The sequence below is a fragment of the Homo sapiens genome, chromosome 6 (assembly GCF_000001405.40).
Source record: "Homo sapiens chromosome 6, GRCh38.p14 Primary Assembly".
In the NCBI taxonomy this organism is placed as follows: Eukaryota; Metazoa; Chordata; class Mammalia; order Primates; family Hominidae; genus Homo; species Homo sapiens.
In genome coordinates, this window is record NC_000006.12 from 161,969,019 (window position 1) to 161,993,072 (window position 24,054).

General features: G+C 42.0%; 1 protein-coding gene across 6 annotated transcripts in view, besides 2 other annotated features; it reads right to left on the reverse strand.

Annotated features, from left to right (window-relative positions):
• PRKN (parkin RBR E3 ubiquitin protein ligase) overlaps positions 1–24,054 on the reverse strand; it is a 1,380,350-nt gene that overhangs the window by 621,602 nt on the left and 734,694 nt on the right. For all 6 annotated transcript variants that reach the window (XM_024446449.2, NM_013988.3, XM_011535863.2 and 3 more), the window contains one exon: positions 4,284–4,399. In XM_024446449.2, coding sequence (XP_024302217.1) covers positions 4,284–4,399 — 116 coding nt within the window. The remainder of the gene's footprint in view (positions 1–4,283; positions 4,400–24,054) is intronic.
• Positions 9,269–9,770: an enhancer, noted in NCBI's record as "H3K4me1 hESC enhancer chr6:162399319-162399820 (GRCh37/hg19 assembly coordinates)". NCBI's record gives its function as "activates a minimal SCP1, AML or CMV promoter by ChIP-STARR-seq in primed H9 embryonic stem cells {active_cell/tissue: H9 hESC(primed)}" and the evidence as "EXISTENCE:reporter gene assay evidence [ECO:0000049][PMID:30033119]".
• Positions 9,771–10,270: an enhancer, noted in NCBI's record as "H3K4me1 hESC enhancer chr6:162399821-162400320 (GRCh37/hg19 assembly coordinates)". NCBI's record gives its function as "activates a minimal SCP1, AML or CMV promoter by ChIP-STARR-seq in primed H9 embryonic stem cells {active_cell/tissue: H9 hESC(primed)}" and the evidence as "EXISTENCE:reporter gene assay evidence [ECO:0000049][PMID:30033119]".

A 24,054-nucleotide genomic window follows, 5' to 3' on the forward strand; every position in this document is an offset into this window, starting at 1 on the left:
AAAATCTCCTTTATCAAATAGGCAAAGACAAAAATTATGCTGAAAGAGAGGCAGGAGGGAGCCCTCTCAAACATGGGAAGCCAGATCAGAACTAGAGCAGTGTTTCTGGAAAGGAAGGTGACAATATGGATCAAGAACCTCAAAAATGTCCATTACCGTGGACCTGCAATCACTGTTATGACCGTATTCTTAGAGCCAAGGCATGCAGTCAATGATGTCTGTAAAATAATATGGTTTTCAGTCTTATTTGTTTTTTTTTTTTTTTTTTAACTGTGAGTAAATGCTCAAAAGTGGGGAAATGGTTAAATAGAACTGAGACAGCCAAGGTACCCAAGGGGGTACCCGGAGAAAGTGACCAGCCTGTGCACTGGGAGAAAGGGATGGAGCCTTGGGAAGTTCATGCTGTTTGGGGTGGGGAGGAGCCTGGCCTCTCCTGATCTGGGTAGTACCTGGGATTTCAGCTGGTGAGGTGGGAAAACCTGCCTGGTTTCTGTTTAGCCCTTAGGAAAGGAAACCTAGAGGTGGTTAGTGAGGGCGTTGGCATAACAGGCCTGTCTGACCTCTCACCCCATCATGGCTGGAACTCAGCTTCCAAGGTGTCTCCACGGTCCCCCTGACCAGGAGGGAGTCTGTTCAGTCAGTTGGAGGCTTAATATTTTACTTTTATTTTCCAGTATGATAAGGAGTTCACAGAAACTATATTTACAGATAAATTAATACTATACTCTGATTTTCATCTATTATTTTAATCCATATTCATTTTGCCTTATAGATTTTCATCTATATTCATCTTGCTTTGCTGAGAGTCCCTGTTACCCTTTTTCTTTTCCTTTTTGCCCAATAAATTCCATTTTTCTCACCCTTCAAAGAGTCTGCGGGCCTAATTTTTCATGGTTGTGTGACAAGGACTCTGTTTTTAGCTGAACTAAGGAGAAAGTCCTACAACAGCATATCCCCACATAACGGAATTTTAGGTACCTATTTTTAAAAAACTGTTTTCATGGCAGAGAAAATTTATTATGATTTTCATTTTTTATTTTTTTGAGACAGGGTCTCACTTTGTCACCCAGGCTGGAGTGCAGTGGCACAAACAGCTCAATGCAGCCTTGACCTCCCAGGCTCAAGCCGTTCTCCTGCCTCAGCCTCCCAGGTAGCTGGGACTACAGGTGCATGCCATCATGCCTGGCTAATTTTTATATTTTTTGTAGGGACAGGGTCTTGCCATGTTGCCCAGGCTGGTCTTGAACTCCTGAGCTCAAGCAATCTGCCTGCCTGGCCTCCCAAAGTTCTGGGATTACAGGCATGAGCTGCCACGTGCATGCCTGGCACAGAGAAAATTTATCATAATGTCCTGCTAAATGGAAAAAGCATGATACGAAACTATATATATATATATATATATACATACACACACAATATAATTATACAGCACACACACACTGCAAATAGGCATAATCAAGATATTGCAAAAAAATTAACCAGAAATTTTACTAAGCATGAGGGTAAAAATAACTTCTAACACTTTTTTTTTTTCTTGAGACGGAGTTTCACTATTGTCACCCTGGCTGGAGCGCAGTGGTACAATCTTGGCTCACTGCAACCTCCACCTCCCGGATTCGAGTGATTCTTTTGCCTCAGCCTCCCGAGTAGCTGGGACTACAGGCATGTGCCACTACGCCTGGCTAATTTTTCTATTTTTAGTAGAAACAGGGTTTCACCATGTTGGCCAGGCTGGTCTCGAACTTCTGACCTCAGGTGATCCACCTGCCTCGGCCTCCCAAAGTGGTGGGATTACAGGCGTGAGCCACCGTGTCTGGCCACTTCTAATGCTTTTTATAGTTTATTGTGAATTATTTCTAAATTTAAAAAGAAAGCATTATCAGGAAAAACCCCACAATGATCACCAAACTGCACGGAGTGTCCGTGCAGGCGCTCATAATGTCCTTACACGTGGATCCCTCGAAGTCAGAAGAAAGAGTTCTTCTCTCTTTCTTACATATGGGGCACTTGGCTGCCTTACACGAGAAGGGACCTTATTCAATCAAGTGGTTGGTTATATACACACACCCTTAAGATGCATCTGGATATAGTCGCTTCTATTTATAAATTCTCCCAAAGGCAATCATATGAACAAAATTAATGTGACAATATTATTTTTCCAGCAATTATCACCCTGTGTATCTGGGAAGTAAGTGGCTCATTCTCTTCGAAAGATGTTGCCAGTTATTAATACGAAAGTGACAGCATAACAGCAGGAAACGGGGAGGGCAACGCTCTTAGTAAGATAATACCATCATCACCACATATTTTAATGTCATGTTTACCAACCTTAATGGAAAGTTTAAAATACTGGCTGATGAGCTGTTTTCTGACTTACAGAAGAGTATTTTGAATTTTTCCTTTGAAAAACTGAACAGTGACTTAAATTACCTGCTGCTATCAGCGCAGTCAAGCCCTCGCTTTTAGCACTTTTCAATCCCTTTCCCGAAACACCAGAATCCCCATCTTAGCTGTTCTTCTTGCATGTTGAAAGCGTTAGCCATACACAGTCATTCACCTTGCCAAGAGAGGCTGAAGCGCTATATTTTAAAGGCAATGTTGTGGTGCTTCCTGCCACAGCAGTGACTAAACATGCAGCAAAGAGAAAATCACGTCTCATTTTTATTCCTTCTTGGAAACAGGTTTGTTCAACAGATGCTGTTAAGGTTTTTGGGCTTCTATTAATCAACATTTTAATTTTAATTTATTAGAGAATAGAAATAGCCTGATAGGAGTGTGAATATTTGCTTATCACGAAATCACAGAGTTTAAAGCAACTTTAAAAGACCATCTAATACAGTTCCAAAAGCCAGAGAGAGACAACACTTAAAATGATTAGGGTATATGACTATTTTTGCTTAAAAGTCTGAAACAATAGATTCTTTGACTTTATTCATTAATTCATTTTGGCATTTCATTAAAAAGTTCTTTCTGGGCTGGGTGCGGCAGCTCACGCCTGTAATCCCAGCACTTGGTGGGGCTAAGGCGGGCGGATCACCTGAGGTCAGGAGTTCGAGACCAGCCTGACCAATATGAAGAAACCCCCGTCTCTACTAAAAATACAAAATAAGCCTGGTGTGGTGGCGCATGCCTGTAATCCCAGCTACTCGGGAGGCTGAGGCAGGAGAATCCCTTGAACCTGGGAGGCGGAGGTTGCAGTGAGCCGAGATCCCGCCATTGCACTCCAGCCTGAGCAACAAGAGCGAAACTCCTTCTCAAAAAAAAAAAAAAAAAAGAGTTCTTCCTGATATGAGGGCTAAGTTCTCACTATTGCAATTTGAGCTTCTTAGCCAACTTCAAAGAACATGTAACGAAGCTAATTTCTTTTCTCTGTCCATTCGGAAAGTGTAGAGTAAGGAATTGTACTCTGAATTGCCTACTCTGCAGAGCAAACAGACTCAGTTTCTTCCACTTTGTCCTTGGCTCCTACACCGCAATTCGTATTGAGTCGTTTTCCCTTTTTTTACTAACAGGCCATCTCCACATTTGCTTGCTTTTCTTGTGTTCACTGGGATTAGAAATAACAAGGTCCCAAACTAGCTACTTGCTTTCATTTTGAGTGCATGAATGTGTGCGAAGCCTCAGCATAAATATAGGCAAATATGGAGAACTGAAATGTATGGAAAAGACATTTTAAAAATAAAATGTATGGGCTACATGTTGTGGTGTTCATAAATTTTTTTTCCATTCCTGGCCGGGTGCAGTGGCTCACGCCTGTAATCCCAGCACTTTGGGAGGCTGAGGTGGGCAGATCACCTGAGGTCAGGAGTTCAAGACCAGCCTGGCCAACATGGGGAAACCCTGTCTCTACTACAAATACAAAAAATTAGCTGGGTGTGGTGGCACATGCCTAATGTTAACATTTTAAATGTTAGCACCATATTTTAATTTTATTTTGGAACTTAATGGATGAGTTTACATTTTATACTCAAATATGTGAGCTTATATTTTAATATCAACTAAGATTACATACACTATTTTAGATATGCCATCTCCCATCTTAGGACCCTATTTACCTACTTAAACTAAGTCACTGGCATTTTAAATTGTTTCCTCACATTAAAATATACCCAAATTGGGCAGACGCATCAAAATAAAGCAGACACTCCCCAGGAAAGAGAGTTCACTGAGGAAGGCTCGTGTGGCAGAACAATATTGGGAAAGTAAGGAGGGGGGAGTGATGCTATTTTTAGATCCTTACCTCACGTCCGTGGAGGGAAGTGACACTATTTTTAGATCCTTACCTGACGTCTGTGCACGTAATGCAAGTGATGTTCCGACTATTTGTTGCGATCAGGTGCAAAGCTACTGATGTTTCCTTGTCAGAGGTGGGGTGTGCTCCACATTTAAAGAAAAATTCCTGAAAGAAAGATAAATATGATCACACACATGGATCCCGGCTGCTCATTTTTCCTCTAAATGTTTCCACAGTAAACAATCTCTTTGGACAAGAGAAGAAATCTGTTACGAGGTGTGAGATGGAAATAAATCAGCATCAAACCTTTCCCAGGAACGGATGACCTTGTGCCAAAGTGGTCAACAATTCTGTTTTAGAAGGGCCCTGAGTCTCTGCTATTCTTTTGCTCTTTAAGCGAGGGAGCTGGAGAAATACGCTGTGACCTTCTTTAAGCCATGCCCCTCGATGATAATAAGTGAGTCTAGAAGAATCACACGATGTGGAGGTGGGAGGAAGCCTCTCACTAATGAGGAAAGGGAGACGTGAAGCCATGAAATGAGGTGCCCACGGGTCAAACAGTAAGAGGTGAAGCCAAGAAGTAACCCAAGCTCCCCGCAGGGAAATCCAGTGCTTTTTCTCCAGTATCACTACATGGTTAGTCATTTAGCGGAGTCAGGAATTGAGAGAGCCCTACTGTAAATAGCCACACAAGTACACATGGACTCCTGGTAGACACAGAAGTGCAGCAGAGGCCCGGCGCGTTGGCTCGCGCCTGTAATCCCAGCACTTTGGGAGGTTGAGGCGGGCGGATCACCTGGGGTCAGGAGTTCGAGACCAGCCTGGCCAATGTGGCGAAACCCCATCTCTACTAAAAATACAAAAATTAGCCGGGCATGACGGCACATGACTGTAATCCTAGCTACTCGAGAGGCTGAGGCAGGAAATCGCTTGAGCCCGGCTGAGGCAGGAGAATCACTTGAGGTTGCAATGAGCTGAGATCACCCCACTAAATTCCAGCCGAGAGTTTAGCAGAGCATGGCTCTCCCAGCCCCATCTGGAGTCTGCCCCTTTTCTGCCTGGCATCAACACCCCAGCATTCCTGCGAAGACTCTGCCGCCCACCCTCTGTGCCAGGCAACTGGAATGCTCCAATCCAGTATCTTGCTGCTTCTTAGTTCCTTTCCCCAGCCAGGTCCTGCCACATACTCCCTCATTTTAGCTTTTCACATAGGTCACGTTCTTTTGATTGATAATATTCTCCCTTCTCAACCACGTTTTTTCTTCACTTTTTTCTGTTCTAACTTCTGTATTTGTTCTCACTCTCCTTCTGTTCACTCACACACCAAGGCGTTTGGCCAGCAATTGCTTTACTTCTTGTCCCACAGTCTGCATGCCTTCCATGATACTAACATCTGTGAAGCTAAATTTTTTGCTACTGAAAAAAAAAATACATATATTTTACTGGATGACAGAATAACCCCTGCATACCACACATACTCCTAATTCCACTTGCGTTTAACTACCTGAAATGTGGGAAGGATTTTCCCTTAAAACACTTGATCTGGTATTGACAAACTTTGATGTAAAGTGCCAGATATTACGCATTAAGTGCTTTTGGTTTTGTAGGGTATATGGTCTTTGTCACACTTCTCAACTTGGCCTTGTAGCTAAAAACAGCCATAAGCAGTATGCAAATGAATGGGTGTGGCTGTGTCCTAACAAAACCTTATTTACAAAATATGTGGCAAGTTGGATTTTTCCCTGCAGGCCATGATGAGACATTTGTAGAATGCTTTATTCATATTTGTATTCTAACAGTGACTGACATTAGGATAGGCATGACATATACTTCTTTTTTTTTTTTTTTTTTTTTTGAGACGGAGTCTCTGCCTTCCAGGCTGGAGTGCAGTGGCGCGATCTCAGCTCACTGCAAACTCTGCCTCCTGGGCTCACGCCATTCTCCTGCCTCAGCCTCCCGAGTAGCTGGGACTACAGGTGCCCGCCACCACGCCTGGCCAATTTTTCGTATTAGTAGAGACGGGGTTTCACCATTTTAGTCAGGATGGTCCTGATCTCCTGACCTCGTGATCTGCCTGCCTTGGCCTCCCAAAGTGCTGGGATTACAGGTGTGAGCCTGTAATATGCCCAGCCTGACATATACTTCTTAAGTGAAAAACAATAGATTAATCAACGCTATTTAATCAATGTTATTTATCATTTATTTAATAAATGCTATATGTTATCCCCTTATACGTTTGACAGCAACATTTGATTTCTTCTTTTCCTGTTTATAATTTACTAACCTCATCCTCCTCTGACATGTGACACCATGAGCAACAGCCCTTGGTCTGAAGCTGTAGTGTGCATCAGAATCACTCGGGTGGGAGGGGGCACGGACTTGCTAAACCAGAGATCGCTGAACCCACCCTGGGATTTTTGTGATTTCTGGGATGGCATCAAGATTCGCATTTCTAACAACTTGCCAGGTGATGTTGTTCCTACCGCTCAGGGGCCCACACTTGGGAAACCTGAGCTCCACCAATGTCAGAGGCAAAGTGAGTAAACTCTAGTTACTCTCTCGCAAGACCGCTGCTGTGGCAGGTCGCTTACCGTGTCTGAAAATAATGCTACATCTTACGTAAAATATGTGACTCTCAAAAATCTGGAGTGTGCCATTTTACTTTTTTTTTGAGACAGAGTCTCACTCTATCGCCTAGGCTGGAATGCATTAGTGCAGTCTTGGCTCACTGCAACCTCCGCCTCCCAGGTTCAAGTGATTCTCCCTCCTTGGCTTCCCGAGTAGCTGGGATTACAGGCACCCGCCATCATGCCAGGCTAATTTTTGTATTTTTGTAGAGATGGGGTTTCACCGTGTTGGCCAGGCTAGTCTTGAACTCCTGACCTCAAGTGATCCACCTGCCTCGGCCTCCCAAAGTGCTGGGATTACAGGTGTGAGCCACTGTGCCTGGCTGAGTGTGCCATTTTGATGAGAGTATCCCAAAGCCAGGGATTTGGAACCCAGGCTATTCTTCACTACAAGTCTCACCAATCCCAGGTGGTATAATTTAGTTAACTAAACCTATCCTATCTGGGGCAGTGGAATATCAGCCGGTCCTCACACCTGCAGTCCTCAGCCCATGGAGGCATGTGTGTGGAGTCTTGCTGGAGTGGACAGGATGTCCAGTGTGTGTGATGGGCCCAGGCTCAGGCATGCCTGTGGAGTCCTGCCCATGAGTCCAGGACCTTCCCCACAGCAGCATGGAAATCATGCTGGCTGATGTTTTTGTTTGGTTATGTTTTGTTTTCCTGAACATAGGATCCCATTCCTTTTACTCAATCTTTTGAAATGTGACAAATCCTTCAATGGCCAGCTCAAGGGTATTGAGAAAGAGATTTAAAACAATGTCTGAACACCAAAACGAAAAGTCTGAAGGACATGACTGACCCTTATGAAATACGCTGAGCTAGCTACGACTGGTTTTTGCAGACATGAAAAAAATCCTCTTTCAAAACATAAAGTAATTCCTCCAAAACAGCTGAGTTGGCAGGACTATTGAAAAAGTATTTCATATACAGATAAATAGATAGAAAGCACTTACGTTTTTTCTTAGCTTACAGAAAGCTGCAGTGGACATTCAGCTAACAAATCACAAATTGTTCTAACACCAGATAAAATTCAGCCAGATAAAAGCCTTTTTATTGGGGGTAGGTGTTTATAGATAATGGTTTAAGAAATTACAGATAGTTGAAAAATTCTAGTAACACATATAGTGTTGATAAAACTAAAACTCACATTGCCAACCCTATATTAAATATGTATGCCTCAACAGTAAATTTCAGTGCTTTCTCCACCAATTTTTATGAAAGAATGTTTTTGTTGTAGTACTAGAATAACTGGCAAGAACTGTGAAGAATGTGGGATTTTACCCAGCTTGCAAGTTAGCAAGTTAGTTTGCTGCAGTATCATAAAAGCTGACAGAAGACAAGAGACTCCTGGATCAGAGACAAAGGACTGCAGAACTCAGAGCACAGGGAGAAAGAAGCATGAGCATCATATTACACCAGTTCCCCTCCACACGTCTCTCTCAGGGTTGAAGTAGATAGGCTAAGTCAGATTCTACAGGTGCAGTGGTTTTGCATCACAAATGAGAACTCTGAACTTAGGAAACTCAAATCTTCTTTAAGTAGTTCTAAGCAAGTCATCTTTTCATCCTGAAGGGAAACATTGTCTTTATTATACTGCATAATAAGCAAATCTGCCTTTTGATCTGGAGAGAAACATTATCTTCTCTACTTTCTGTTTTTTTGGTTTTTTTTTTTTTTTTTTTTTTTAAGACAGAGTCTTTTCTGTCGCCCAGGCTGGAGCGCAGTGGCACGATCTTGGCTCATTGCAAGCTCCACCTCCCGGGTTCACGCCATTCTCCTGCCTCAGCCTCCCAAGTAGCTGGGACCACAAGGCGCCCGCCACCACGCCCGGCTACTTTTTTGTATTTTTAGTAGAGACGGGGTTTCACCATGTTAGCCAGGATGGTCTCAATCTCCTGACCTCGTGATCTGCCCACCTTGGCCTCCCAAAGTGTTGGGATTGTACAGGTGTGAGCCACCACGCCCGGCCCTATCTTCTCTACTTTCAAGGTCATTTGCTCTAAAACTTCCTTGAAAAGATGGGTCAGAACAAGTTGGTGTCTCCCTCAGAGATGAGCGGACAAATGACAGACCCATGGAGAATTGCTTCTCAATAATAACACCTTTTCTTGCAGGCTAATTTGCAGTTATTTTATTGTATTTTATTTTATTGTATTTTATTTTATTTTATTTTATTTTATTTTTTTGAGATGGGAGTTTTGCTCTTTTTGCCCAAGTTGTAGTGCAATGGTGCGATCTTGGCTCACTGCAACCTCTGCCTCCCAGGTTCAAGTAATTCTCCTGCCTCAGCCTCCCGAATAGCTGGGATTACAGGCATGTGCCACCATGCCCAACCAATTTTTTATATTTTTAGTAGAGATGGGGTTTCACCATGTTAATCAGCTGATGTCAAACTCCAGACCTCAGGTGATCCACCGGCCTCGGCCTCCCAAAGTGCTGGGATTACAGGTGTGAGCCACTGTGCCCGGCCGATCTGGTCATTTCTGCTCCTGTACAATCAGTGGGCTGGATTGTTGAAGTCTTTTCTGACACTTCCAATCTGTATTCAAAACCAGCAGACAATAAAGGAACACACAATAGAAGTGAGAAGGGCCTTTTTCGAAAATTCCACCTTGGGTGTCTGAGATGGCTTGTTCACACATGGGTGTCATCTCACAGACAGTGGCATGATTCTTTGGGATTAACTGCCTCTGAATTCTGTTTTGTTTCTCTTAATTACTCAGTTTAAAAAATTAAAAAAGTCAAAGACAGGAAAGCTTTCTAGCTGGAGTCCAAGAAGGCTGGTCAGAAGGCTGGCACCACTGCACCACTGTGAGGTCACTGGGGCATAGCAGGGCCCAAGCCAAGTGGCCAAGAAACATCTCCAGCTGTGCTGAGCGACAGTGGTTATGCCTGAGGCAAGGCTGCTCAAGGTGGCATTGTTTGAGTTCTAGCGTGTGCAGGGGTTGGCCGGGGAAGTTGCTTCTCGGTCACTAGGGAAGCAGAGTATTCTGGGGGAGCAGCCGGGCAGTGTCCTCTTCATCAGGAAGCCCAGCTGTCAATTCTAGTGTGGCTGGAACAGAATCCTTTACGGCGGGTAAACTGAGTCTCAGAGCGGCCCACCCCACCTCTTACAAATGGTAGTTCACAGATAAATCAGCTACAGAAAGATTCCCCCACCTAACCAGGAGCTATAATTCCCAGGGGCTTACTCACATCATTTGTATACCAATAGTCACTTCTGGGAAACCTTAATTAGCGAAGAGAGCTAAAATCTATAACAGCAAATGGCCAGTTTTTTGTTTTTGTTTTTCCAAATGATAGCCTAAATGATTTTATACTTGAAAAAAATAAGGCTTTAGAAAATGTGCTTGGCTTTATATTGTGACACTGTTAAATGCCATAAGCGTTTTCAACTTTATTTATTTTTTTGAGACACGGTCTCCCCCTGTAACCCAGGCTGGAATGCAGTGGCACGATCTTGGCTTACTGCAACCTACGCCTCCCAGTTTCAAGCAAATCTCATGTCTCAGCCTCCTGAATAGCTGGGATCATAGGTGTGTGCCACCATGCCTGGCTAATTTTTTGTATTTTTAGTAGAGATGAAGTTTTACCATGTTGGCCAGGCTGGTCTCGAGTTCCTGACCTCAAGTGATCCACCCACCTCAGCCTTTCAAAGTGCTGGGAAAACAGGCAAGAGCCACTGCGCCCGGACCGTTTTCCACTTCATTAGTATTAAATGGAAAACCCAACAAAGTTGTATTCCTCAAGTTCTTAGAAAGGCTACTCATGCTTTTACCATTTCTCTGGACAAGGCTGTGATCCCTTCCTTCCATTCTTCTCTTTCATCATAACTCACTTGCCCTCTCCTCCTCACTGTCGAAGCCTGACCCTCCAAATCACATCAGACCCATACAAATCAAAGGGGGACCAGGGGAGAAGAGCAGGAAGATGTCAACTGGACTGTGGTATTCCTGGAAGCCACTCCTGCTCACTTATGTCCCTTCACCCATGACTCATAAGCAGTGCCACTCACAAAGAGGAAAACTAGAGCAAGAAGAATGGAATAAATAGCCCAGCAAAATCTGAAAATTAGATTGACACCAAGAATCCAACTGTATAAACACATTTACGATCAGAAGCGAATTAGCCAAACCCAAATACAATTTGATAGATTTCAAATTACTATAAAGGTAGATGACAACTGGCTTGAAAGCCCTGCTTATCACAGTCCTAATATGGTCAAATCTGAAAAAATCATTAGCAGTAAGACCTGACTTAGTTACCCATGATCCTTCCAATAGCTTTTATTGAACATCCTAAATTTTATGTTTATAGATATTGTTTAACAATTATGTTTTCCAAACGAAATATTGTATCTATCTTCACAAAGAGTTAAATTCCATTCTTGTCTCCAAATCCTTCTTAGTTAATATTTCCCAAAAGAAAAAAAAACTATCCTTCTCTTGATAAAGTAATGGGGACACACACTTTCCACTAACAAGGTTGCAAAGGGTATAGGGTTTGTACTTAACACGTAACTGCATAGCTATTTGCATGGCTCAGGGTATAGTTAGGAAAACAGGGCCCACACCAGGTAGTTCAACTGACGGAATTGAATGAGATTAGTTATAGAGGAGTGGAAGCACAGAAGAACTAAACAGAGAAAGGAAGCCACTTGAGATTAGCGTCATTATTGCACAGCTGCCATCTGGGGCTAGAGGACAATGGGAGAAGGTATTGGAGTCACCACAGCTCTGCAGCTGGGCTATCTGGTTGGGAGTCTGACAATGAATGGGATGAAGCCACTGCCAGAGATGTCCCCTAGAGAGAGAGGGAGAAATGCCCCTGGCTTCTGCCTTCTCTTGGCCCTCCCATCTCCAGAAACAGCCCCAACTTACAGAGCAGAGAGGGGGAAAAGGTGGCTTGGGTCTGAAAGCCACCAGCAGATGACTGCTGCACCACCACGAGGTGGACCCTGTGTGAGATCAAAATTCTCCAAGTGTCACCCTTTGTTAGTGGTGACACATTCTAATCAGCCTCCACTAAAAACAAAAATACACATTCAGATATTGTTGTGAAATATGTATTGAAGATACAGAAATACTCACACAAATATACATTGTATATTGAGATTAAACTCAACTATACTCGTCAAAAGACTATCCATCCAAATTTTCCGATGATATTAACAGGATACAGGGCTGTGGTTACTGCTTATGAGATGAACTCGTAATAAGTATCTTACATCTATATCAGAAAGATTCTCACAGTTACCAAGTTAAGACAGACAGCCTGTCACTTCAAATCAATCTAAATGCCTCTCACAAACCTAAAATCCTGTTTGTAGCTAACAGCAACAGATATTCCCCAGTTACTCTCTCCTCAGAAACTGTCCAGGCTAGAATAGTTCCTCGTTAGTGAGATACAGATTCTTTTCTAAGACACAACTACTAGTTTTAAGTCTTCCTATCCATGCAGAGGTTTCATTATTAATCTTAATAATAAAGTTTTAATTTTCTTTAAGTTAAAACATGTCAGCTGGGTAGGGTGGAACACACCCATTGTCCCAGCTATTTGGGAGGCTGAGGCAGGAGGATCGCTTGAGCCCAGGAATTTGAGACCAGCAAGGGCAACATAGCAAGACCCTGTCTTTAAAAACAAACAGAAACTCCACAAAAACAAACCAAAAAATGCCAGATAAAGCATAACCACAACATTCTCTACCTAATACATAAAAAAAGCCTTTAAAATAGCCATGGCAAAGCCTGTTTATCTTGTGACTTCTTTATTGTGTCTTAGCCTTCATACTGAAGTGTTCGACTTACTGGGTATTACATAAACCCAGTAACTGAATTTATCAGTTCTGATACAAAGTAACTATGCAAACTGGAGGACTATATAATAAATGTACACTTTGTTAAATTAACAATGCCAGTTTTACAATTAAGTTACACCTAGTCAAACAGATCAGACCTAAAAAGTTAATGAGTCTATCACCATGTTCAATTACAAGTTTGTTTTCTCTCAAGATGTCAATAAAGCCTCTAGATGATGTGCAAAGTTTATCAGGAGAAAGAAAATCAATATACTCCACACAAAGCAAAACCATGTCACAACTTTGCTGAGAAGGAGGCTGTCAGTTTATGGTACATGTCTTCAAGAAGTCTAACTTAAAACAAAAGTTGGCTAATATAACAACCCACATCCGCCCCTTCTCTGCCTGATTGTAAGTTCTTCAGTGTGCCTTGAAGTTTATTCCAGGTGTAATGCCACTCAGCCATAATTTGATGTTTATAACTTTAAGAGCAAAAGGGAGATTGTTAAAGAAGATGTTAAAAGTGATTCCTGAAAAGTAAAATAAAAGGTTTGCCCACTGCTCAAGGAAATAAAAGAGGAGACAAACAAATGGAAGAACATTCCATGCTCATGGGTAGGAAGAATCAATATCGTGAAAATGGCCATACTGCCCAAGGTAATTTACAGATTCAATGCCATCCCCATCAAGCTACCAATGACTTTCTTCACAGAATTGGAAAAAACTACTTTAAAGTTCATATGGAACCAAAAAAGAGCCCGCATTGCCAAGTCAATCCTAAGCCAAAAGAACAAAGCTGGAGGCATCACACTACCTGACTTCAAACTATACTACAAGGCTACAGTAACCAAAACAGCATGGTACTGGTACCAAAACAGAGATATAGATCAATGGAACAGAACAGAGCCCTCAGAAATAATGCCGCATATCTACAACTATCTGATCTTTGACAAACCTGAGAAAAACAAGCAATGGGGAAAGGATTCCCTATTTAATAAATGGTGCTGGGAAAACTGGCTAGCCATATGTAGAAAGCTGAAACTGGATCCCTTCCTTACACCTTATACAAAAATCAATTCAAGATGGATTAAAGATTTAAACGTTAAACCTAAAACCATAAAAACCCTAGAAGAAAACCTAGGCATTACTATTCAGGACATAGGCGTGGGCAAGGACTTCATGTCCAAAACACCAAAAGCAATGGCAACAAAAGACAAAATTGACAAATGGGATCTAATTAAACTAAAGAGCTTCTGCACAGCAAAAGAAACTACCATCAGAGTGAACAGGCAACCTACAACATGGGAGAAAATTTTCGCAACCTACTCATCTGACAAAGGGCTAATATCCAGAATCTATAATGAACTCAAACAAATTTACAAGAAAAAAACAAACAACCCCATCAAAAAGTGGGCGAAGGACATGAACAGACACTTCTCAAAAGAAGACATTTATGCAGCCAAAAAACACATGAAGAAATGCTCATCATCACTGGCCATCAGAGAAATGCAAATCAAAACCACTATGAGATATCATCTCACACCAGTTAGAATGGCAATCATTAAAAAGTCAGGAAACAACAGGTGCTGGAGAGGATGCGGAGAAATAGGAACACTTTTACACTGTTGGTGGGACTGTAAACTAGTTCAACCATTGTGGAAGTCAGTGTGGCGATTCCTCAGGGATCTAGAACTAGAAATACCATTTGACCCAGCCATCCCATTACTGGGTATATACCCAAATGAGTATAAATCATGCTGCTATAAAGACACATGCACACGTATGTTTATTGCGGCACTATTCACAATAGCAAAGACTTGGAACCAACCCAAATGTCCAACAATGATAGACTGGATTAAGAAAATGTGGCACATATACACCATGGAATACTATGCAGCCATAAAAAATGATGAGTTCATATCCTTTGTAGGGACATGGATGAAATTGGAAACCATCATTCTCAGTAAACTATCGCAAGAACAAAAAACCAAACACCGCATATTCTCACTCATAGGTGGGAATTGAACAATGAGATCACATGGACACAGGAAGGGGAATATCACACTCTGGGGACTGTGGTGGGGTCGGGGGAGGGGGGAGGGATAGCATTGGGAGATATACCTAATGCTAGATGACACATTAGTGGGTGCAGCGCACCAGCACGGCACATGTATACATATGTAACTAACCTGCACAATGTGCACATGTACCCTAAAACTTAGAGTATAATAAAAAAAAAAAAAATAAAATAAAAGGTTTGCAGTCATTACTGACCCTTATAAAATGCGTGAAAACTAGGAAAACTAATATTCTCTTTCCCAGCTCAAGGTACTTGCTCCAATAAGCTCAGATGGCTGTACCTCCTTTTCCCCTCCCCAGCCCAGGGGTGAACAGGCAGCTCTGGCCTCAGCGGTCAGAGTAAAACAGGCTCATACATGTGACCACAATGAGATACCTGTCTGAGAACCAAGCCGGTGCTCAGAAGGAAAAAGTGATGAGAGAAAGACAGTCTCCAAGAAAGAGATCACTTGTACCCTGGATCCAGCTATGCCTGATGTTTCCCCAGTTACTTATTAATTTTTATTTATTTATTTATTTTGAGATGGAGTCTCATTCTGTTGCCCAGACTGGAGTGCAGAGGCGTGACCTTGGCTCACCGCAACCTCCGTCCCGTGGGTTCAAGCAATTCTCCTGCCTCAGCCTCCCGAGTAGCTGGGATTACAGGCGTGTGCTACCATGCTGGGTTAATTTTTGTATTTTTAGTAGAGATGGGGTTTTGCCATGTTGGCCAGGATGGTCTCGAACTCCTGACCTCAGGTGATCCACCTGCCTCTCAAAGTGCTGGGACTACAGGTGTGAGCCACCCTAATCCCTGGCTGTGTTTTTCATTCTTTAATTTAGCAGTGCCCATAGGCACTTCCAAGACTGATTTCCATATTATCTGTCAGACTGCAAAACAAGGATTTTCCTTTATTATCTTTATTATCTTGGAGAAAGCTTTGACCTTAGGCGTTGTCCCCTAGATAATCTATCACTGGGGAATTTTTCAGAGCAAATGCTTCCACTATGTTTGTTGCTATTTCTTTACTTGTGCATATGATCTTGCTGTTAGCATTTCATGAAGGGTCCCTGACTCCAAACGCTTTAGAACTATGGGACAGTTGTCAAAGTTCCACGCTGCACAGCCTCCCTGAGAGTGAGCAGGAGGACCCTGCTGGCCAGATGAAGCAGCCCTCCCTGACCTCTGACTCATTCCTGGGCAGGAATGGCCATCTCAGGGGAAACTGGATCGGGATTACACACAACACAGCAACCATGTTTTTTTCTTTCCTTAGGTTTTGGACTAGTGGCTCTGGTGTGGTACCAGCTTCCCCTGCATTTCTCTCCCAATTCCAACAAACGTTTGGAGATTGTAACTTGTCTCACCTCAACATAATCGCAGTGACTTATGCGATGTCATCTGCTCAGTTTATAAATCGAGCATATCTCTTCCCTTTCAATTTTGTAGCCTAGCCCGACAATAAAAGAACATTTATTATTCTAGCTGTTCTTTCTCTCCTTTAGAAGCTAAAGGTTTCACATGCTCTCATAATATGTCAGCTTCAAGAACATAACGGCACCCAAAACATTTGCTAGTTGCATGTTTAGGCCAAGCTTTCCAGCTTTTGTGCTCAGATAAATAAGATGTTAAAATATCTGGTTGTTAACATGGAATATTTCCTTTTGTAATCTCCCACCACCGAGTGTTCGACTCCATGATTTGACCTCCAGGAGAGGACATATAAACGAACATGTGTTAGCTGGTAATTATTTACGAGAAACTGAGGAGACAGGTCACAATTTTGAAAATTCCTTATGACTCACCATCCCTAGATGAGTTACTATATTCCTAACATTTTCTAGGGAGTCTCTAGAAGACAGTATTATTTTACATTTATTTCTAAATGTGCAAAACACTTATTCTAATTAACAATGGCAAACAATGTAGACGAGCTATGTAATCATTTCACTGTCTGGGTTAATTATCTTCCAGGCCAAGCACACTGGCCGAGCAAGGCCTTGTAGACTTTCTAACCTCCTTGCCTCACTGCCTCCCACCTCACCTGCCCACCTCTCCCTTGGCCTGCCATGGAGACCCTTTGAGGAGGGGCTGGACTTCCCCCCTTCACTCTGGCCCCTTGCTTGTGGTTTGAGCTCAGCAGGATCTGTCTTCTTCCTCTGCTTTGTCCACTCATTTTGCCTTTCAAAGCCCTAGATGTCTTTCGGCCTCAGTGTATCTATCTTCAACCCTGGAGGCCTTCCTTGATCCTGTCCCTGTTTTAGCTAGTCCTCAATTATGTCCGGTGCCTAAGCTCTCCATAAGATACATCCACCAGTGTGTCATGTCAGTTTACCATTGCCATGGCAACATCCAGGAGTTACCAGCCCTTTCCATGGCAATGACCCAATGACCCAGAAGTTACTACTCTTTTCCTAGAAATCTCTGCATAAACTGCCCCTTAATCTGCATGTAATTACAAGTAGGTATAAACATGACTGTAGAACTGCCCTGAGCTGCTACTCTCTGCCTGCAGGGTAGCCCTGCTCTGCAGAAGCAGTCACAGAGCTGTAACACCACCGGAGCTATAACACTGCTGCTTCAATAAAGTGGTTTTCCTCTACTGTCAGCTTGTTCTTGAATTCTTTCCTAGGTGAAGCTAAAAACCCTCTTGAGCTAATCCCCAATTTAGGTCTTCCCTCCCCAACATCACTATTCTTGGGAATTAAGTAATTCACTCTGTTCTCTCCCTGCTCTTTGGTTAGTCTGCAGTGTCCTTTTTTTTTTTTTTTTTAAGACTTTGATATTCCATCTTTTGAGTTACAATTGGGACAACTGAGAGAGGGGAAGAGCTGGAGTGGGGTGAGAACTAGGAGGGCTCAACAGCTGGAGGTGTAGTTCACTTAGTTTTTGTACTGGAAGGGTTCATCACTGGTTTCATTGAGAAGTCAGGTGCGACGAGAGCTTCTGTCACCTACATATTCCTCCTAACATTTACTGCTGCTGTTGAATCCATTGTGCTGTTTATTTGGAAAATCCCCCCCACTCCCTGGACCAAGTGAGAGCGGAACAGCCAGACCTGAGAAATGCAGCCACAGCAACTTCACAGTGTCCAGTCTAGGCAGGGAAAGTGCAAGAGAAACATACCTTTTGATAGCAATACTTCACAAAATGATAATATAACTGGTTTGTTGGCTATGAGCAAAAAGAAATATTGAGCAATAAAAAAACAGCCTAGCTTTAAAACATTTTAAATGACTTTAGACTTGGAATCTAAACTTTTTTCGTTCAAAAGTCCTTGTTTCTTTAGCAAGTAGAATTTAAAGCTTCTTTTTATTCGTGTCTTCTTTATTGCAGGCAGCACAAGCCATCATAAACATTCCACTCAAGATAAACTGGGCAAAGGCAAGTGCTTAACACAATTTAATACTTTCTCACATTCTATATATTTACTTTATTTCCTCATTAGGAAAAGAAGAAAATAAAATGTAATTTGTAAATTTACCTATAAACCATATACCGGAAAACTAAGATGAATAAAACTGGAAAATAAATGTTACACTGAGTTTTTTCTTTTAACATGCCAGTACAAGTGATAACCAATGGAAGAATTAAAAACTCAACCAGCCATCCTACTTATGTAAAATATATATCGATGGGCGTAGACATGTGTGCTTTATACATATGATCATCCCTCAGTATCCAGGAGGGACTGGTTCCAGAAACCCCCTGCAGACAGCAAAATCTGCAGATGCTCAAGTCCCTGATATAACATGGTGTAGTATTTGCATATAACCTAAGCACATCCTCCTGTGTACTCTAAATCATCTCCAGATCATGTAGAATACCTAATACAATGTAAATGCTGAGTATATAGTTGTTACACTGCATTACTTTTTAAATTTGTTTTTAAATATTGTGTTATTTTTTGTTTTTATTTTTGAATATTTTCAGCCGATGATTGAACCCAAAAATGCAGAAGCTGTGGATATCAAGGGCTGATGTTACATAGATTGACTGAAAAATTTCGGAGTCCAATTAATACTGCATCTAAAATAAGTTAAATAACATCAAACCTTTTGTGTCATAAGGACACCATTAAAGTTATTTATTTGTTTATCTCTCCTCTATTTTTTGAGAAATGTATGCTGTGTTGGAGAGGCAAAGAAGGAGGATGGCAAATAGTGCAGCATCATCCGGTTGCTAAGAGGCATATGTAAAAACAAAGAAACATCCCACAAGGCAAGAAGAGGAACTGTTAGAGTGAACGATGCTCCCTCTTAGCCCAGGCTTATCATTATAGAACAATTCTCAGGCGATGGCATCTATGGGCACAGTTTGTGTGTGAGGGCAAAAGACTCCTGTACAGCTCATGCCCCCACCAGGAGAGAAAAGTTGGTGGCCCCGGCCTTCCATCACTGTTGGGGAAAAGTCAGGAAGAGTCAGTTCTTCCAAAGGGGAAAAAAAATTTTTTTTTTAATCTAAAGAAAATTCTTCAGGGCTGGGCATGGTGGCTTATGCCAGCACTTTGGGAGGCCGAGGCAGGCGGATCACCTGAGATCAGGAATTTGAGACCAGCCTGGCCAACGTGGTGAAAACCCGTCTCTACTAAAAATACAAAAAATTAGCTGGGTGTAGTGGGGCGCGCATGTAATCACAGCCACTAAGGAGGCTGAGGCAGGAGAATCGCTTGAGCCCAGGAGGCAGGGGTTGCATGAGGCGAGATCCCGCACTGCACTCCAGCCTGAGCAACACGGCGAGACTCCGTCTCAAAAAAACAAAATAAAATAAAATAAAATAAATAAATAAAAAGAAAAATTTTCAGGAAACATAACTAGGACACAATAAAGTGTTTCAATCAGGTTTAAACATAACTTGAGAATATAAGAATTTTAAAATTTAATTAAAAGCTAAAAAAGAAGAGTAAAAACAGAGAAAACCTATTAATAAAATGGAAATCATGAGTGAAAGCTCAGAGCCATGAACACGACAGTGAGGACATCAATATATAAATCATAAACACAGAGAAGCGGAACCCAAAAAAAAATTGCAGAAAAGATCTTCTGTGGGTTAAAGCTACCCAATGGATAATACCAGTACTACAGAGCATTTTCATTGACTGCCTGATTATTATAACATGTTTGGTAAGTTACTTAATCAAATTTATGGTAGCTGTCTTTATCATGTTTAATTTAGCTGATTTTTAAAAAAATATTTACAATGAGCTTTATCTTTTTTTTATACTTTAAGTTTTAGGGTACAAGCGCACAACGTGCAGGTTAGTTACATATGTATACATGTGCCATGTTGGTGTGCTGCACCCATTAACTCATCATTTAACATTAGGTATAGCATTAGGAGACATACAATGAGCTTTAGTACAAACAGCTTCTAAGTTTGATCAAGTGATTTGGATTCACTATGGACATAATCACACACATCTCTTTTAAGCTTTAGATAGCATGAATTAAATTGATGGATATGTGAAGATTATGATATCCTGACACTTTGAAATAAACACTTACTCCTTTCTTACTTTCATAGTGCCTGGAAATATATATATACACCATCCAGGGCCTGGGGATCAAACAGCCTTACCCGTTACAGCTGGTGCCCATGCACATCAGGGGGCCTGAGGACAGGTCTGCCTTCCTGCTGCTGTTCCCACCAGTGCGTGGATATACCATCAACTGGGAGCCTGGGGGTCAACCTACCATACCTGTTGCCACTGGCAACTGTGTATGATTGCAGGGCCTGTCAACAGGTCTGCCCTGTCCTTGATGCCTGTGCATACCATCTGGGGCTTGAGGATAGGTCAGTTACACCCCCCACCACCTCTGCTGGCACCCAAGCATGCTATATGGGGACCTGGGGACCAATGTGTCCCAGCCGCCACAGCCTGCACCCACACACACTATTGGGGACCTGAGGACAGGACTGCCCCACCTGATGCTACCACTGACAGTGCCTGCATGCTTCATCTGGAGACCTGGGGATTGATCTGCCCCACATGCTGCTATTAATGGCTATGAGCACCTTCCAGGGCCCTGACGATGGGCCTGCTCAGCCTGCCGGTGCCCACATACTTTGACTGTGGGACTGGGGAACGACCCTCCCTGTCTGCTACCACCAGGGCTCACACACAACTCCCAGAGGACTGAGGATGGGCCCACTCAGCCGGCTGCCATCACCACTGCTGGCCATCTACCCATATGCATCACCTGGAGGCCTGAGCACTGGCTTGCTTACCCTGCCACCACCACCACTGGTGCCTGCATATGCTGACTAGGAACCAGAGATGTGGCTTGCCACTACTATTGCCATGAATGATGCCACACACCACCCAGGAGCCCAAGGACCAGCCTGCCCTCCCAGCCCACTGCCACCACTGCCAGCACATAAGCAGACTATCTGGAGGCCCAAAGTTTGGCATACCCAAACCACTGGTGCCACCACTGTGCCCGAAGACCAGCCCACTTGGTGTCCCTGTCCCCACAAAAGCTTCACTGCAACCTCTACTAACAAGTGCTGCCCGAGCCACTGAAGAGATCACAGACACAACTGATGCTGATTACAGCTGAAGAAATCATTGAGACATTACACTGCTGTGCCCAGCTAGAATCAAAGCCAAGGTGACCTACCAAAGCAACATTATAAATACATCTGTAGAAAAAAGTAGTCTTTTTCTAAAAAAGCCAATCCATAAAATTGGAAGAAGCAACTGCTACATCAGAGGCACTGTAAAAAGCTCAATGAGATATGATAGAACACAAATAAAAGATACGAAATATCAGAAAAACAATTCATGATCTGAATGAGAAACTAAACAAAGAGAAAGATATTTTTAAAAATGTCTAAACAAAAATCCTGGATCTGGAGAATTCAATGAATGAAATAAAAATACAATTGAGGGCTTCAAAAAAAGATGAGATCAGGGAGAGGAAAAAAGAATTCTGAACTTGAAAAGAGATCATTTGAAATAACCCAGTTAAAAAATTTTAAAAAATTATTAAAAAATAAAGTAAGCCTATGGGATATATGGGACACCACAAAGCAAACAAATGGAATTTGGGGTGTTCCAGATGGTGAAGTGATGATCAAAGACATGGAAAGCCTATTTAACAAAATAATATCTGAAAACTTCTCAAGTCTTGCAAGAGACTTAGACATCCAGATACAAAAAGCTCCAAGAATCCCAAATAAATTCGACTCAAAAATGTCTTTTTCAAGGAACATTAGAGTCAGACTGTTAAAAGTTAAAGACAAACAGAATTCTAAAAACAGTAAGAGAAAAGTGTCATGTCATATATAAAGCTATCCCCATCAGACAAACAGCAGATTTCACAGCAGAAACCTTACAGGCAAGAGAGAATAGGATGATATAGAGTGCTGAATGAAAAAACATGCTAGGAAAGAATATTCTACCAACAAAGCTATCTTTCAAAAAGAAAGGAGAAATTAAGTCTTTCCCAGACACAAACAGAAGGAATTCATCACCACTAGACAAGTCTTATGAGAAATGCTCAAGGAAATTCTACATCTGGAAGGAAAAGGACAATATGTACCATCACGAAAACACACAAAAGTGCAAAACTCAATGGTAGAGCAGACACACAAAGGAGAAATGAAGGACTCAAATGCTACTATTACAGAAAACCACCAAACCACAATGATAAACAACAAAAGGGAAAGAAGGAACAAAGCATATGCGAAACAACCAGAAACAACTAATAAAATGATGGAAATAAGTCTTTACTCATTAATAATAACTTCAAATGTAAATGGATTAATTTCCCCCATAAAAGATAATAAATGGCTAAATGAATTTTAAAAAATGGCCCAACTGGCCAGGCGTGGTGGCTCATGCCTGTAATCTCAGCACTTTGGGAGGCCGAGGCGGGCGGGTCACCTGAGGTCACGAGTTTGAGACCAGCCTGCCCAACACAGTGAAAGTCCATCTCTACTAAACATACAAAAAATTAGCCTGGAGTGGTGGTGGGTACCTGTGATCCCAGCTACTCAGGAGGCTGAGGCAGGAGAGTTGCTTGAACCCAGGAGGTGGAGCTTGCAGTGAGCCAAGAGCACACCACTGCACTCAGCCTGGGTGATGAGAGTGAAACTCCGTCTCAAAAAACAAAACAAAACAAAGCAACAACAAAAAAATGGCCCAACTATATGATGCCTACAAGAAAAACACTTCACCTATAAAAACACATAAAGATGACAGTGAAAGGATAGAAAAAGTCATTCCATACAAATAAAAACCAAAAGTGGACAATAGTAGCTATACTTACATCAGATAAAACAGATTACAAGTCAAAAAATCTAAAAAGAGACAAAGAAGGCTGGGCACGGTAGCTCACGCCTGTAATCCCAGCACTTGGGAGGCCAAGGAGGGCAGAAGTCTTGAGGTCAAGAGTTCGAGACCAACCTGGCCAACATGGTGAAACCCCATCTCTACTAAAAATACAAAAATTAGTTGAGTGGGGTGGTGGCGCACCTGTAATCCCAGCTACTAGGGGGGCTGAGGCATGAGAACTGCTTGAACCTGGGAAGCAGAGGTTTAAGTGAACTGAGATCGAGCCACAGCACTCCAGCCTGGGCAAAAGAGTGAGATTCTGTCTTTAAAAAAGAGAGAGAGAGACAAAGAAGATCATCATATAATGAAACATGTATCAATTCAGCAAAAGGATGTAACAATTCTAAATATATGTGTACCCAATAGCAGAGCACCCAGATATATTTTTTAAAAAATTATAGATTGAAAGGGAGAGATAGACCCTGATACAACAGTTGGGGGCTTCAATGCCCCTATTTCAGCACTGGATAGATCTATGAGATAGAAAATAAAGAAACACTGGATTTAAATTGCACTTATGACCAAATGGAATTAACAGACTTCTACAGAACATATTATTAAGCTGCAGAATACACTTTCTTCTCATCGGCACATGGAACACTCTCTAGAATAGATCATATATTAGGACATAAAAGAAGTCTCAAGAAATTTGTTAAAATCAAAATCATATCAGATATTAATATCTTTTCAGACAACAACAGAATAAAACTAGAAATGATAGCAAGAGAAACTTTGGGAACTGTACAAATACACGGAAATTTAACAACATGCTCCTGAATGACCATTAGGTCAAGGAAGAAACTAAGAAGAAAACCAAAAAATTTCTTGAGAGAATTAAAAATGGAAATGTAATATATTAAAACCCGTGAAATACAGCAAAAGTACTGCTAAGAGAAAAGTTTATAGCAATAAACACCTACATCAAAAAAGTAGAAAGACTTCAAATTAACAACCTAACAATGTACCTTAAAGAACTAGAAAAGAAAGGACAAAGGAAAC